Source organism: Homo sapiens, chromosome 5 (assembly GCF_000001405.40).
Source record: "Homo sapiens chromosome 5, GRCh38.p14 Primary Assembly".
NCBI classification, from domain to species: domain Eukaryota; kingdom Metazoa; phylum Chordata; class Mammalia; order Primates; family Hominidae; genus Homo; species Homo sapiens.
The window spans coordinates 58,996,522-59,014,123 of record NC_000005.10 but is presented as its reverse complement, the minus strand read 5'-3'; the positions used below and the strand labels follow the sequence as shown (position 1 = coordinate 59,014,123).

Here is a 17,602-nt window from a genome sequence, read left to right as displayed (position 1 = left end):
TTTATTGAGAGTTTTTAGCATGAAGTCCTGTTGAATTTTGTCAAAGGCCTTTTCTGCATCTATTGAGATAATCATGTGGTTTTTGTCTTTGGTTCTGTTTATATGATGGATTACGTTTATTGATTTGCATATGTTGAAGCAGCCTTGCATCCCAGGGATGAAGCCCACTTGATTAGGGTGGACAAGCTTTTTGATGTGCTGCTGGATTTGGTTTGCCAGTATTTTATTAAGGATTTTTGCATCGATGTTCATCATGGATGTTGGTCTAAAATTCTCTTTTTTTTGTTGTGTCTCCGCCAGGCATTGGTATCAGGATGATGCTGGCCTCATCAAATGAGTTAGGGAGGATTCCCTCTTTTTCTATTGATTGGAATAGTTTCAGAAGGAATGTTACCAACTCCTCTTTGTACCTCTGGTAGAATTCAGCTGTGAATCTGTCTGGTCCTGGACTTTTTTTGGTTGGTAGGCTCTTAATTATTGCCTTAATTTCAGAACCTGTTATTGGTCTATTCAGGGATTCAACTTCTTCCTGATTTAGTCTTGGGAGGGTGCATGTGTCCAGGAATTTATCCATTTCTTCTAGATTTTCTAGTTTATTTGTGTAGAGGTGTTATTCTCTGATGGTAGTTTGTATCTCTGGGGGATTGGTGGTGGTATCCCCTTTATCATTTTTTATTGCATCTATTTGATTCTTCTCTCATTTCTTCTTTATTAGTCTTGCTAGTGGTCTATCAATTTTGTTGATCTTTTCAAAAAACCAGCTCCTGGACTCATTGATTTTTTTGAAGGTTTTTTTGTGTCTCTATCTCCTTCAGTTCTGCTCTGATCTTAGTTATTTCTTGCCTTCTGCTAGCTTTTGAATGTATTTGCTCTTGCTTTTCTAGTTCGTTTAATTGTGATGTTAGGGTGTCAATTTTAGATCTTTCCTGCTTTCTCTTGTGGGCACTTAGTGCTATAAATTTCCCTCTACACACTGCTTTAAATGTGTCACAGAGATTCTAGTATGTTGTGTCTTTGTTCTCATTGGTTTCAAAGAACATCTTTATTTCTGCCTTCATCGCATTATGTACCCAGTAGTCATTCAGGAGCAGGTTGTTCAGTTTCCATGTAGTTGAGTGGTTTTGAATGAGTTTCTTAATCCCAACTTCTACTTTGCACTGTGGTCTGAGAGAAAATTTGTTATAATTTCTGTTCTATTACATTTGCTGAGGAGTGCTTTACTTCCAACTATGTGGTCAGTTTTGGAATAACTGTGATGTGGTGCTGAGAAGAATGTATGTTCTGTTGATTTGGGGTGGAGAGTTCTGTAGATGTCTATTAGGTCCGCTTGTTGCAGAGCTGAGTTCAATTCCTGGATATCCTTGTTAATTTTCTGTCTCGTTGATCTGTCTAATGTTGACAGTGGGGTGTTAAAGTCTCCCATTATTATTGTGTAGAAGTCTAAGTCTCTTAGTAGGTCTCTAAGGACTTGCTTTATGAATCTGGGTGCTCCTGTATTGGGTGCATATATATTTAGGATAGTTAGCTCTTCTTGTTGAATTGATCCCTTTACCATTTTGTAATGGCCTTCTTTGTCTCTTCTGATCTTTGTTGGTTTAAAGTCTGTTTTATCAGAGACTAGGATTGCAACCCCTGCTTTTTTTTGTTTTCTATTTGCTTGGTAGATCTTCCTCCATCCCTTTATTTTGAGCCTATGTGTCTCTCTGCATGTGAGATGGGTCTCCTGAATACAGCGCACTGATGGGTCTTGACTCTTTATCCAATTTGCTAGTCTGTGTTTTTTAATTGGAACATTTAGCCCATTTACATATAAGGTTAATATTGTTATGTGGGAATTTGATCCTGTCTTTATGATGTTAGCTGGTTATTTTGCCCATTAGTTGATGCAGTTTCTTCCTAGCCTTGATGGTCTTTACAATTTGGCATGTTTTTGCAGTAGCTGGTACTGGTTGTTCCTTTCCATGTTTAGTGCTTCCTTCAGGAGCTCTTGTAAGGCAGGCCTGGTGGTGACAAAATCTCAGCATTTGCTTGTCTGTAAAGGATTTTATTTCTCCTTCACCTGTGAAGCTTAGTTTGGCTGGGTATGAAATTCTGAGTTGAAAATTCTTTCCTTTAAGAATGTTGAATATTGGCCCCCACTCTCTTCTGGCTTATAGAGTTTCTGCTGAGAGATCAGCTGTAAGTCTGATGGGCTTCCCTTTGTGGGTAACCCGACCTTTCTCTCTGGCTGCCCTTAACATTTTTTCCTTCATTTCAACTTTGGTGAATCTGACAATTATGTGTCTTGGAGTTGCTCTTCTTGAGGAGTATCTTCGTGGCATTCTCTGTATTTCTGGAATTTGAATGTTGGCCTGCCTTGCTAGGTTGGGGAATTTCTCCTGGATAATATCCTGCAGAGTGTTTTCCAACTTGGTTCCATTCTCCCATCACTTTCAGGTACACCAATCAGATGTAGATTTGGTCTTTTCACATAGTCCCATATTTCTTGGAGGCTTTGTTCATTTATTTTTACTCTTTTTTCTCTAAACTTCTCTTCTTGCTTCATTTCATTCATTTCATTCATTTCATCTTCAATCACTGATACCCTTTCTTCCAGTTGATGGAATTGGCTACTGAAACTTGTGAATGCATCATGTAGTTCTCATGCCATGGTTTTCAGCTCCATCAGGTCATTTAAGGTCTTCTCTATGCTGGTTATTCTAGTTAGCCATTTGTCTAATCTTTTTTCAAGGTTTTTAGCTTCTTTGCGATGGGTTTGAACATCCTCCTTTAGCTCGGAAAAGTTTATTACCCATCGTCTGAAGCCTTCTTCTCTCAGCTTGTCAAAGTCATTCTCTGTCCAGCTTTGTTCCGTTGCTGGTGAGGAGCTGCATTCCTTTGGAGGAGAAGAGGAGCTCTGATTTTTAGAACTTTCAGCTTTTCTGCTCTGGTTTCTCCCCATCTTTGTGGTTTTATCTACCTTTGGTCTTTGATGATGGTGACGTACATATGGGGTTTTGGTGTGGATGCCCTTTCTGTTTGTTAGTTTTCCTTCTAACAGTCAGGACCCTCAGCTGTGGGTCTGTTCGAGTTTGCTGGAGGTCCACTCCAGACCCTGTTTGCCTGGGTATCACCAGCAGAGGCTGCCGAACCGCAAATATTGCAGAACGGCAAATGTAGCTACCTGATCCTTCCTCTGGAAGCTTCATCTCAGAGGGGCATCTGGCTGTATGAGGTGTCAGTTGGCCCCTACTGGGAGGTGCCTCCCAGTTAGGCTACTCGGGGGTCAGGGACCCGCTTGAGGAAGCAGTGTGTCCATTCTCAGATCTCAAACTTCATGCTGGGAGATCCACTACTCTTTTCAAAGCTCAGTTGGAAATGCAGAAATCACCCGTCTTCTGCATCACTCATGCTGGGAGCAGTAGACTGGAGCTGTTCCTATTTGGCCATCTTGGAACCTCCCCCAGCTATACCTACTTTATTGGATTTTTGTGTCTCCATCAGCTGACATGGTACTTACAGCCTAGAATGAGCATACAAAGGATACTCATTCGCTATTCGATGATGACTGACAAACAGTCTCCCAGGATCACCATGAAATAACTAAACTGAGTTTGATTTATTTAAAAATCAGGTCCAGGTAACAAACTGCACCTGTCCCCTTGAATTGATACAAATAAAAATAAAACAAAAAAGGACAATATTTTACTTTATGGAACTTTTTATTACAAAGAATTAAAAAAAAATAAAATAATAATACTTAAAAGAATACTTTGACTATTATTTTATCACCTAAAGGCTTCTCTTATTATTTTATTTTTGGAGACAGAATCTCTGTCACCCCGGCTGGAGTGCAGTGGCGCGATCTCAGCTCACTGCAACTTCTGCCTCCCGGGCTCAAGCAATTCTCCTGCCTCAGCCTCCCGAGTAGCTGGGATTACATGAGTGCACCACCACACCCTGCTAATTTTTTGTATTTTTAGTAGAGACAGGGTTTCACCATATTGCCGAGGCTGATCTCAAACTCCTGAGCTCAGGCAATCTGCCTGCCTCGGCCTCCTAAAGTGCTAGGATTACAGGCATGAGCCACAGCGCCCTGCCAACCTAAAGGCTTTTCACAACTGGGAATTCACTGAATGTTGTATCATTAAAGCTAATGTGGACCTTGGATAACTGTATGCCTGTTTTCTGGGAAATAATGGTGGAGCTCTTTGAAAGGGTAAAAATGGTGTTTTATCATACATAACTATGCCTGAGGTTTTTGTTTTGCATTTATCTTTGGGCAAAGTTGTAAAGTTAAGCAAATCTGGAATTGAAATAATTTGATAACATCAGCTAATATTTTTCAAAGTTAGATTTTTGAGGTATAATTTACATAAGAGTTACTCTTTCTAGAGGTATAGTTGAATGCATTTTCACAAATGTGTACAATTGGATAACCACCACCATAATCTAGATATATAGGTAATGTGTAATTATAATATATATGTACTATATAATATAGGATATTTATACCACCCAAAAAGTTTTCTCTTGCTTTTTATAGTCATTCCCCAAACCCCACGTCCAGTGCTGATTGTCCCTATGGTTTTGCCTTGCCAGAATGAATAATACATTAAAGATATAGCCTTTTGTGAATGGCTTCTTTCACTTACAATACTTTTGAGTTTTGAGTTGAATTATAAGTTTCACTTATAATACATTTTGTGTTATTGCATCTATTGGTAATTTGTTTCATTTTATTGCTTTTTAGTATTTCATTTTTTTCCAGTATGTCATTTTATGGACACAATTTGTTTACCCATTCACCAGTTGACTGATATCTGAACTGTTTCTGGGTTTCTGCTATAGAGAGTTGCTATAAACATTTTCATATAGGTCTTTATATAGACATATGTTTTCATTTCTCATGGGTAGATACTTAGAAGTAGGATTGCTGGGTCATATGGTCACTCTACTTTTTAACTTTATAAGAAACTGTCAAACCTTTTTCCAAAGTTTCTATACCATTTTGCATTCTCACTAGCAATGTATGAGAATTTAATTTGCTCTGCATCCAGGCCAGCATTTTGTATTGTTTGTATTTTGTATTTTATACATTCTAGTAAGTATGTAGTGTGGCATCTCACTGTGGTTTTACTTTTTGTTTCCCTAATGTCTAATGATGGTCATGGATCTTTTCACATGCTTATTGATCTTTTTGATTCTTATGAAGTGTTTGTTTGTTCAAATCTTTTGACCATCTTTTCACTGGATTGTCCTCTTATTGTGTTGTAAAGATTTTTTAAAAAATAATTTCTGGATACAAGTCCTTTATTTGATATGCATTTTGTACATATTCCCTTCTCAAGTCTGTGGCTTGTTGTTCTGTTTTCTTAACAGTTTTTTTCAAAGAGAAATTTGGTAAAGTCCAGTATACCATTTTTTATTTTATGCTTCATGCTTTTGTGGTTTAAGAAATCTTTGCCTAACGCAAGATCACAACTACTTTCTACTGTGTTTTCTTCTAGAAGTTCTTTAGTTTTAGATTTTACATTTAGTTCTATGATTCATTTCAAGTAGATGTTAGTGTGGTGCAGGATAAAGGTTGAAGTTTCTTGTTTTATGAGTGGATGCTCAATTGTTCAAGCATTCTTTGTTGAAAAGAATATCATTTCTCTTTTATAGCTCAAATTTTATTACTTAAAATTATTTTAAGATGCACATATTAAAGTGATATGTGTAAAAGATTATATATTTCTGGAAGCATGCCTATTTACACTAGTTATTATTACTTTAGGAGACAGATATTCTCTTTGTTTAAATTGTTTCCACAAAGCATACCACGAAGTACAGAGGGGACATTAGTAACTATTTTATGATGATTATGGTATTCATTTAGGCCAATTTAAGTGAATTGGAGATCCTAATTTTCTCTATAAGGAGACAATACTTTTTCATACAAGATTATTTTTGTGGAGGCTTCATTTATGTGAAGTTTTTGCACCCATTTATTGTCATGATTATTCTTCAGTGAAACAAAAGTCTGTAGTAGATATGCTGCTGCTGCTGGTTTTAGGTAAATTGACTAAATAGTTATACAAAACTCTGTCTCTACCATATATGAATTCAAACTGTATCAACAATTACAGAATACTATGCTAACATCTAATAAGAGAGTTAGCCCATGTAGAAGAGAAATATAAATACAGCTATCAGATCAGTCTCATGTTATTTCAGCTTCAAGGAGCCTCTTAGCAAAAATGGTTTCCTTTCTCCATACATGTTGCAGGTGTTTACTATTTTAAATGAGACTTTTTTGTTAAAAAAAAATTAAAATAAGATCATTTAGAGAACGATTCTCAGCTTGTTCAGATGATTATTTGGTTTTAAAAAAGCAGCCTGGAGTTCCTCTTAATCTCAAATCTCCATAAAACTTACAAGAGATGTTTTCATTTACTGAAAGGAATAGTTTTTTCTTAATCAAATGTAGAGCCATTATCACTAGAGGGCAGTAAATACAAACAGATTTAGTGGATTTACTGGCACTAACGATGTTTTCAGAATACTAGCATTAATCAAAGAAAGTATAGTTTTTATAATATGAAAATACATGTAACATTCTGTTATGTAAAATATTGGTTATGAATCAATTCTAGATTATTGTCTGCCTCTAAAATATTTTTAAGGCATTTGAAAGCAAAGGGAGGCTGAGAAACACTAGTTTTCTGTGGCTATTCTGTTTAATACTTGAAGTTTAACTTTGCCTCAGAATTCTTCAAGGGACATTTAAAAATTAGATTTGCATTTGTTCAAGCTGAACAGTACTGGATATATGAGAGACCACGTTATATAGATTTGCTTCTTGATTAATAACTACCACGACTTTTAATTTTAAGGTGAAAGGTGTAAAATAAATGTAGATTGATTATAGGATAAAATATTTTCCAATAATGTAAGTCCTACTGCAAACAGTGCTACTGCCTGGAAAACTCCTTATGTTGGAGAGGTCCAAGAGCTAATACACTTATTTTAAACAATATTTCTTAAATATTTCAAACACAGTAATATAATATACAGCTTAGAATTGATTATATTAACGGATCTATTATGTAGGCTCTAGGCTAAATATAAAATAATGCCTGAAATAGTTTTCTTTTTTTGGCAATTTAGAGTACTCTGAAACCAGACAGTCTGGGTTCAAATCCTGGCCCTGTTACTTACTACTGGCTTTGTGACCTTGAGCAAGACAACTTGACCTCTCTGAGCCTTAGTTTCCCCATAATTTAGTTTTGTTTTTCCCTATTCAAAAATGCATCTTTTCTCTCTTGACCTCTGTTACAAAGTCAATAATGACAGCATGTGTTAATGTATCAGCAGTTCAGCTCCATCAGCAGAATTTCAAATATCCTGAAATGTACTGAAATAGTTCAAAAAGATTGTTAATTGCTTGGGTATCTGGTAAGGACTGAGAAAACAAGGAATAGCAGGGAAGTGGCCTCTAGAAATTCTGAGGGGTATTTCTAGGAAAAGTCTGAAAAAGAGAACTAACTGAACATTATGGGAATTTTTTTTTTCTTTTTTGAGACAAGGTCTTGCTCTGTCATCCAGGCTGGAGTACAGTGGTGCAATCATAGCTCACTGCAGCCTTAAACTCCTGGCCTCAAGCCATCCTCCCACCTCAGCACCTCCCACCTCCCACCTCAGTAGTATCTGGAACTACAAGCACATGCCACCACACCTGGCTAATTTTTAAATTTTTTGTAGAGACGGTGGTTTCTCTATGTTGCCCAGGCTGGTCTCGACCTCCTGGCCTCAAGCAATCCTCCCGCATTGGCCTCCCAAAATGTTGGGATTACAGGCATGAGGCACTTCACCAGGCCAAGAAACTATTTTTTCTATTTCAACAAACACACTTGCATATATGTATATAAAATCATTTGGGCATTTGAGAGCAGTGGATTACAGATAAGAAACCTGAGCTCTAGCTGTAACGCTGTCCCTCAAGTTGTGTTGTCAGAACTTTTCTGGACCTCAGTTCCTTGTCTGAATGTGTCGTCATCATTACATCTGCATATGAGGGCAGCTGTGTGTTGTTCACATAGCGCTCCCAAACATAAGCGTGTCTCACTATATGGCAGGGCTGTCTGCCTGTGGGCACCTGCTTCCTCACCCTGTCCAGAGATCTGACCATGGTGATAGTAACCATGATTCTTTAATTCAAGGCACTGTAAAGTTAGCAAAAAGATTGAGGATAAACAAATCCACTCCTAGATTCATACTGTTTATCATAGAGTTTGCATCAGCCTAATTATATGATGAGCTGTCATACACCATTAAGAGCAAGGACTGGGTTTGCATTTCAATCCTGTCACCTATGGAGCAAGTTATTGAATATGTAAGAAGGTCCATCTTTTCATGTTAAAATAGGGATAATATTTATCTTATCAGAATGTTGCCAAGATTAGAAATGAGGTATGTAAAGTTCTTTGTGCATAGTAGGTGCCTAGTAAATGTTGTAACTTATTAAAGTTTCTTCATTAAATTTGGTGAAGCCAAGTCTGACTATAAGAATTGTATCTCTCTGGCTCTATTCAAATTTCTCTTCTAAATTATCTAGATTCTCTCTGCAGATAGCAGCTACCGTGGCAATAGGAAGGAGATTCTAGTCTCCTAGAAATGGAGATTAGGGAAAATGAAATGAATTTTAATTTGGCTCAGAGATTTTTGAAAAGATTTCTTATTCCCTAGAAATATGGAAACTTTCCTTGGTACTTTTTACTCAATATGATTAAATAATCTCCCTTATTGCAGCAAATTAGGGACTTATTTGAATAAGTTAAATCCTTTCACATCCAGCACCTATTAGAATGCCTGGCACATAATAGTTGCCAAATAGAAGTCTGTTGAATGAAGGGACCATCACTCACATTCAGCAGGGAGAAGAGGCTGCAGATTTTAGAGGGAAGGGAAACTGTATGTGTGTTTCTGCATAATGTTTTAAGACAAGGAGTATTATCTACTATATGTAATCTGTTTTAAATGTTTTTGATGATTTTGCTGAGGGTGAAAACCCTTGTCCTTTCCTGTCACCTATAATCAGTATAAAAATATTGATGTTTTGCATCTGCATCAGCCAACAATCTTTTTGTGGCAATAGTACACTACCTTGAGAAATACAGGGACATAATAAGATACTTTTCTGGCCTCAAAGATCCTCCACCCTGGATGAGGAGTCAAAGTTGAAGACAGTTGAAAAAAATAGAACAGTGATTCTTAACACTGGGGAACATTCAGGAAATTTCAGGGGACAGTGACTGGGGAGTACTCCTGGTGCTTGGTGGGCAGAGGCCAGGGAGGCTAGATGTCCTGGGATACATGGGACAGCCTTTCACCAGGGAGGTTTGCTGTGTGTCCCACACAACTTCCAAAAAGTCCCAGCAGCTATTCACATAGGTGAAAAAACAAAATGCATTTATAATTCTCTGAGCCTAGAACCCAACTACTTTTTACGTATAAGTATTAAATATTTTTACATGGTTTTAATCCACACCAAATTTTCTAGTAATGCAGCAATAGTGTATATTGTGAAGATGGCACTTTGTTACATTTGAAACCTTTCAAAGAATCATTCATCATATCAGGAAAAAGGAAAATTTTTCTAACATAACACCCCTGTATTCATTTTCATGCTACTGTTACTTTTGTGGTAATTCTCCCCATAAGAGAAATCATAGCAAACCCTTAGATAGCACTTACTGTTCTAAGAGCCTTATGTATATGCACTAATTTAATCCTCACAACAACCCTGTAAGGTAGAAACTATTATTCTCATTTTCCATGTGAGTAAACTGAAGTATGGGAAATTTAAATAGCTTCCCCAAGGTCACACAGCTAATCAGTTATAGTAGTTTTTGACTACTTTTTAAAATGTAGTTGTGTACAAGTATTTATATTTTGTAGTATTTGATAGAAATTACTCATTTCTCCTTTATTTCACTGATAAGCCATTATACTGATTTTTTTTTTAAATCTATGTAGGGAGTATTTAGCCTATATGTATTCAGTACAGTATTATGAAGGAAGTGTATTTAGGAATTTCATTTCAGGATGAATACTTGTTATAAAAAGTAAAAAGTAACTGAGTCTTAAGTTTGTCAAAGAATAAAATTGATGGATGGATGGATTTTTTTTTTTTTAAAGGAGGGGGAAGGCAGTGAGCCTGACTGCAGAGTGTAATTTGCATTTAAATGACAAGTGGTATGACACTTCCACCTGTTCTTCAGGGAGCCTCACCAAGTATGTTTTGCCTCGAGGCCTTTGCTTTTGCCATTCCTCACTTGGTTTTCCCTTCTCTACCCTACCTCTCACCCCGCAATCCACATGGCTTGTTTCCTTTCTTCAGATCTCCTGGTATACGTCATCTCATCAGAGGGGCTTTCCATGATCACCTTATAGCAACCTCTATCCGTAATCCTTATCCCTTCTTTCTCTCCATTGTGCTTATCACCCCATGACGTATTATGTATTTATTAACTTAGTTTTGGAATATAAGCTGCAGGTGAGAAAGCTTTGTTTCTCTTTCTCAGGCAGTGCCTGACATAGAGTAGGAGCTTAATAAATATTGAATGAAGGGGCAGATGTAGAATCGTTAGAATTTGGAAAAAGGCTGGAATATTTGGTCCTAAGATGTACTTTGAATGATTTAAATCTGACTGAGAAAACCAGTTTGAGGTTGGCAGAGTAGAAGAAGGAGGGTATTTTAGGCCGAGAATTTGGTAAGACAGAGATGGGATTGTCAGCTGTATGGTGAAGGTGGAGGAGTACTAGTCTTTCAGGAACAGAGCAAATGTAATAGAGCAGCTGAAAATAGGCTTGGCGTTGGGGATTAAGGTCAGATATGGCAGTCTGGAATTTACAGAGGGATGTGATGAAGCAGGCATTACTAGCTTTGAAGTAACAGGCTGCGGCTGGATTTGAGGAAAATTGATCTGGCAGTAGAGGTCAATATGAGACTAGAAGGGGAAAAGCCAGGGGCAAGAAGATGAGCTAAGAAGCAATTACAGCATTTTGGCCCTGAGACATGGAGTGCTGTGATGCAATTGAAAGGAAATATAACATATATATTTTAAAAACAAATGACAAACCAGAGAATTTTTTTAAATATTAGTATAATAGAATGATTATCATAATGATCATTGTCACTGTCATCTTTACTGTCTGATACCTACTTATCTTCAACTTTGTACCATTTGTTGTTTTAAGTGCTTTGCATATATGGTCTCATTTAATCCTCATATGTATCTGTTCTGGTTATTTATTGCTATGTAAGAAATCACTTCAAACCTAATACTTTGAAATATGAATGTATTTTTATTAGTTTTCATGGCTTTGTGGGTTAACTGGTCTTGGCTAGACATTCTTGCTTGGCATTCCTCATATGGTTGCAGCCCAGTGGGTAGCTATCTGAAAGCTGAACTGGCTGGATGGCTAGGATGGCTTCTTGCCCCTCAGGTCTGGCTCTGGGCTGGGGTGGCTGGCATTGCTGAAGACTGGCCAGGCATGTGTGCTCTTTCTTGTGCAAGTGCTCTCTTGCGCTTTCTCTCTTCACTGTCTGTGAAGTTAACATGGACTTCTTGTAGCATAGCCTCTCAGAGTAGTCAGACCTTTTTTTTTTTCAACCTAATGGCTTAGGGGTCCCAATAGCACATTCAAAGAAAGCAGGATGAGAGCTGCAAGATTTCTTATGACTTAGCCTCAGCAGTCATGCACCATCACTTGTTGGTTACACAAGCCAACTCAGATTCAGTGTAGGACAGTGTGGCTCATTAAGAGTATCTTTGGAGACTAGCTGCCACAGTAATCCACTTTACAGATGAGGAAGCTGACACACTAAAAAGATTATTTGTCAGTGATTGTGCACAAAAGATTTAAACTTGCAATTCTTGTTCTCAGTACCAGAGTGAACCTGGGAAAATCATTTTTTCTCTCTAGGTCTCAACTTTATGTGGAAATGAGGGAGTTAGAGGGGGTGATATTAAAGTTACTTTCTATTTCTCTCAGTCTTTTAAATATTTGGATTCAGATTACGGGAGGGGTAATGGTAAGGAATAAACTGAAAGAAACAGCTCTGGATAAAAGATAGGGCTTGCTAACAAAGTTGAATGAAGGAGGGAAGGTGATGCCGTATAGGGGAACATGCCGGGTTACTCAAGGATTCAGCTAGATGGTTTATATTAAACACCTGACAGTGTCTGACGCACATGAAACACCTGTTGAATGGTAGGAAAGAGTCATAGATTCCATCTGAGATACTGGAAGAAATATAGGCTCACTGACTGAAATGGAAGTAATTATACTAAGAACTACTTTAAATAGAAAAATGTCTCACAGTTTTGAAAAAGTTTGTCGTGACTAGCAGGGCATTCGAGAGGAGAATCTTGTATTCAGAAATATGGCACTGAAGTTCAAGTTAGAAGTGGTCATTGAAGATTGTGGGCCTAGGGAAAATTAAAGAAGTTCAGGATCCTGGGAGTTGAGGGAGAGTAGTAGGAATGATCAAACATGTGGAACACTTCAGAGAAGTAGGGAGACCAGAGAAAAGGAGGACCTTAGTATTCCTCTGGGGGTAGCTTTAGTGGAATGTTGGAGCTTTAATTTCTTCCTTTTGTAGAGGAGTAAGAGTGATGGAAATGAATACAACAGATGTTAACAAAAGCAGAGGACTGTAGCAGCTAAAGGCCAATAGAAACTCAGAGAGACACAGTGTTACAGGAGTGCTTATCAGAGAGCATGCTCTCTAAGACAGACATGCCACATGTGGAAATAGTTAAATGTCAGGAAGACTGCAGAGTAGCCATACCAGCAAGTTAAAGCACAGAGTAGTAAGCACAGGCTTTGAGATGGAGAGGAGGTAAAATGCACAGAATTATATGCTAAAATCAACTAAAACCTAGTTTTTCCTTGTTTCTCACCCACAAGACCTCTTTAGTATTAAAGTTACAGGGTAATACTACACCAAACCAAATAGAAAATGCTGTTTTTCTAGAAAGAACTTTGATTTCTCATTTAACCCTCCTCGTAAAATGTCTGATTACTCTTGAGCTCAATTCTGGATTCCTAAGAGCCACTCATTCCTTTCTTAACTTTGTGTACAGTTATTAAAATGTTCTGTTCTGGCTGGGCACGTTGGCTCACACCTGTAATCCCAGCACTTTGGGAGGCTGAGGTGGGCAGATCCCCTGAGGTCAGGAGTTTGAGACCAGCCTGGCCAACATGGTGAAATCCCGTCTCTGCTAAAAATACAAAAATTAGCCAGGCGTGGTGGTGGGCGCCTGTAATCCCAGCTTCTCGGGAGGCTGAGGCAGGAGAATCGCTTGAACCCGGGAGGCAGAGGTGACAGTGAGCCAAGATCGCACTACTGCACTCTAGCCTGGGCGACAGCGAGACTCTGTCTCTAAATAAATAAATAAAATATTCTCTTCTGATCAAAATACAGATCCTGAGTTCTATATACAAAACACTGCATTCCTTATGCATACACAGTGCCCTAGCTTTCACATTTCCCTCCCCCCAGAATTGCAAGTGGTCCCACCCCTAGATTTTGAAGGTTTTAGAACTCTGTCATACATAACAATAGAAACAAAAGGAGCTGAGAGCAGCCATGGCACACAGGTGAGGGAATGTGTCATTGCCATCTGTGCCATCTGTGAATTCTGGACATTAGTCGTATTGTTTAATCCCTATGCTTTTATGTTGGATGAGGGGAGAACTACAGTCATTTCTACATCACCAGGGAGCCACTTGTTTTGGATTTGAGAGAGGGAAGCAATTAAAATGCTCGATTGCCATTTTTGGAGCAGTTTTTATTTGGAAGGAAGGGAAGCCAGAGGACATTAAAATTCATAGAAAATGCCCTCCAAAAGGATGGGCAATTCTTAAGAATGAACTACGAATTTTGAGGAGTTTTATGGTCATTATTCATCACTGCAAGAGGGAAGCCCCGTTCATCTTTTCTCAGGGTGGCCTCAGAGCTGCAGGGATACCATTATTCAATGGCGTTTGTCGGGTGAGGAGAAAGCCTCCCCAGAGGCTGGCCCTTGCCAACCAATCCCAAAGCAGCCTGCACCGAGGCCACACCCCCTCGCCTTATAGGCTAAGAGCTGGAATGCAATTGGTGCAGAGTTGGGGTTTTATGGGAGGGGCTTCTTGTCACTCTTCCCGGCTTCCCTGCAGTTCCTTATTTGGTAGCTTTTGACAGGACTAGCCTTTCTTGCAACTAAGCATCTTGACATACATTATTCATTAAGCCCTGGAGCTCGGGAGAGAAAGATGCAGACCCTTAGATCTTTAGATATTCCTTTATCACGTGGATTTTCTTTATTCAGAATAGTTGCTGAATTTTGTGCCATTCTGGAGTCTTACAAATGGCATGTATTCGATGGGAAGACGGCTGGATGGGATTTAATGCGAGGCTTTCTTATGTATACTTAATTACCAAAAATCTTTAAAAACTCATACTCTGCGTGGCTTGTGGAGGTTGTTAAAGTGTCGAGATTTTGAAGCTAAATACATTTTAGAGCTTACTATATATATACATATATATATATATACATATAATCAATCAAAAATGCCTGAAGCAAACTATTTACTGTCAGTGTCTTGGGGCTACATAAAGGTAAGACTTACTTAGCTTTTGAAAACTCCTTACTCTGATTACAAAATTATTTAGAAAGCTTAGACTCTACTGTAATTTGTTCAAACTATCAGTTATGTATTCTTTCCTTACACATGAACTAGGAAGAAATACGTGTTAATAGTGGTCAAGATAAGATTGTATAACTTTCATCAGTTGTAGTTTGAGTGTTAAAATAGCTTTTTTAGATACGCAGTAGTTCTTCTGTTTGTCATGTGGTATATGTTTGAATTGTGCTTGAAAAATATATGGTAATTAAATACATTCATTGCAAATAAATTATTGGGCCAAATTACTTATACTGATTTATGGATTCCAGTTAGTATGTTGCACATAAAGTTTATAAAATTAATTTGTGGCTGTTTCTAAAAATCTATACTACTTTAACCTGACGAGGAATACGTTTTTTTCACCTTTAGCTATAAAGCCCTAGGTGACATTAAAAATTGACATTACTTAACTATGTAAGTGATACTAAAGTGAAAACTTGATTGTCTATTATACTTGCAAAACTGAACAAAGTTTTTATTACACTGTTTTGTGAATCTCAAGAAATGAATTAATAAACAATTCAATAAGATTGTGTCCATGCTTGGCAGGCTTTTTCCATGCCCTGTGGTAACATTAGCATTGTGATCCTGTCTCCACAATAGAAGGAGGTAGAAAAACCTTATTCAGTCCTAAATGAAACATCACTTCACAGATTTTTGGTATTTGAGCCACTCGCTTGAACCTGGGAGCCAATCACAACACATTTTAAAAGATTCATTTTCTGTTACTCTGAGGATTTTTCAGATTGGAGTGTTTGTCGTTTGCTTTGTTTCTTTCTTTTTGAAGGACAAGTTCCCCTTTGTTTTAGAGATTTACTTGAATTCTAAAAAAATTAGAAAACTTATTTCAGTCTTGGTTGTCCAAGTAGTCATGATTCCTTACCTCCCTTTAAATCTGTGGATGATTCAGATTTTTAAAAATGTTTTTAAAATATATAGACTTCCATTATTTGAATTTTGTTAGCCATTTCTTGGCTAAAAATCTTCAGAAATGCAGAAAAGTATAGAGAGTAAATATAAGAAGCCCTCATTATCCGCCAGAATTCAGCTCCTAGCTTTTAGCCAGCTCACAACTGATGTTATTTTTGAAGGGCTTCACATTTGTACTGTGATTATGAACCATTTGTACTATGATTATGAACAATATTGCCAAGAATCTACATATAGAATTTTAGTACGTTTCTTTTTGAGGAAAATTTTTCCTGGACAGCTTTATGTTTAATACTGTACCTTTAAAAACATGTAAAAATAGCAAATATAGATATATTTGGTCTTATGCATTTTGAAGGTTTTATTTTTATACCATCAATGGAGTATTTGTTTAAATAACTTTGAATACTGATATCTACCAAACTTGTAATGCATCACAGTGCAGCATATTCAAATGATTTTTAGCAGAATATTGTCAGGAAAAAATAAGAAAATTTTCTTACTATTGGACCCATACCACCTCCTTAAATATATATTGGGAGGATATATAATATACCCAGTAGCACACTGGCGTGATGTAGAAGTAAAGGAGATTACATTTAAGGACATTTTGTTTTATTATTTTAGTTTGCTTCCTGAACAATCTTAAATGCCTAATGTAAATTGAAGAATTGCAGTTCTGAAAAGCAAAATACAGTATTGAGATTCAACTGCATTTTTACTTTCCTTTATGCCTTAACTGCTGTACACAGACATTCTGATGTATAATGAGAACAAAGGATTCAAAAGCATTCACTTAGAAATCCTCCCGTTTTTTTAGTTGCAACCCTAAATCTGTGTATTGTTTTCAGACTACTTAGGCCAAAAACAATTAGAAATTCATCAATGGAAAATATTTAGAGGTCACTTAAAAAAATAAACTAAATGCTTAAATGGTTCTGCATTTTACAATCGGTTCGTTTCAAACAGCAGTTTAATGTTTTGTCCCTTCTAAATATATTAATTGAGAAATATGATGGGATTTCCCAGAAGAATACATTGTATTAGCTTTAAATCAGTCCTTCCCCCTTTGGTAATTTTATGTAGTTATCTTAGTAAATATTATATAATTATTTTTAGATGAGAGAAGTATCACATTTTTAAATGTTTGTTGAATGATCTAGTGCATTTTTTTAGTACATCTAGCTATGCACTCCAAAACCAATTTGTGAGATCAACTACCAGTTGAGAAAGCACTTATGGTAATTTTTGTGGTTATTCATTTAGCTTTGCTGGACTGAAACTTTTATATGGATAGCAAAAAAGGAAAACAATGTTAATTCCTTTTAGAAAATACCCTTGTGTTATAACTTAATGTACGCTTCAGAATTATCTTTAGGAAATTCCTTAGACCGTCTTCCTAGAGTAGAGAAGTAATTGCTTCAAATATTGTCTTTTATAATTATGTTAAAATGAAATGTTGACTTCCTTGGAGTCCCTTATAAGCCTTGGTAGGGAGGTGGGCATGTGATGGAGGATTTCTCCAATCCATGTTTTTGTGTTTTAAACAAAGGCTGGAAAGTACTCTGGGAATAATGTATATGACCAGAAAGATGAACATGCAGGATGTCACTTATCTAGTCTGTACAATATTTAGATTCCTTTCACTGGCTTTTTTCTTCAGTTATCTGTACTAACTGGCTATTTTGGTGAATTGTTTAAGCAAACTGCCAGGAAAATTATACTTCGTTCTTTATATTCTTTTAGAAAAATCCAATAATATATGTAGCATATCTGCAGGTAGCATCCACATGTTCTCTTTGGGCAACATAATCCTTATACTAGTTTGTGTACAAGTTAGAAGATAAACCTGTGATAACTGGGTCTCTATCTATCTTTATCAATCACTCCCAGAAGGCTTCCCTTGTTTTGCTTTATTGAGAGAAGTGCAAGGAGGGCAGCAGTTCCTGTATAGACTGCTGAGATTCTA

General features: G+C 37.1%; 1 protein-coding gene across 28 annotated transcripts in view, besides 1 other annotated feature; it reads left to right on the top strand.

Moving 5' to 3' along the window:
• The window catches only part of PDE4D (phosphodiesterase 4D), a 1,553,091-nt gene that overhangs the window by 1,508,005 nt on the left and 27,484 nt on the right, over nucleotides 1–17,602 (top strand). The window contains exon 1 of one of the 28 annotated variants that reach the window (NM_001197223.2): nucleotides 14,226–14,635. The exons of the other annotated variants lie outside the window; for them this stretch is intronic. Within the exon in view, the coding sequence (NP_001184152.1) occupies nucleotides 14,588–14,635 (48 nt within the window). The 5' untranslated portion in view covers nucleotides 14,226–14,587. Of the gene's footprint in view, nucleotides 1–14,225; nucleotides 14,636–17,602 lie in introns of those variants that run through there. 28 annotated transcript variants of the gene reach the window in all.
• Nucleotides 10,317–11,212: an enhancer, noted in NCBI's record as "H3K27ac-H3K4me1 hESC enhancer chr5:58298739-58299634 (GRCh37/hg19 assembly coordinates)". NCBI's record gives its function as "activates a minimal SCP1, AML or CMV promoter by ChIP-STARR-seq in naive H9 embryonic stem cells {active_cell/tissue: H9 hESC(naive)}" and the evidence as "EXISTENCE:reporter gene assay evidence [ECO:0000049][PMID:30033119]".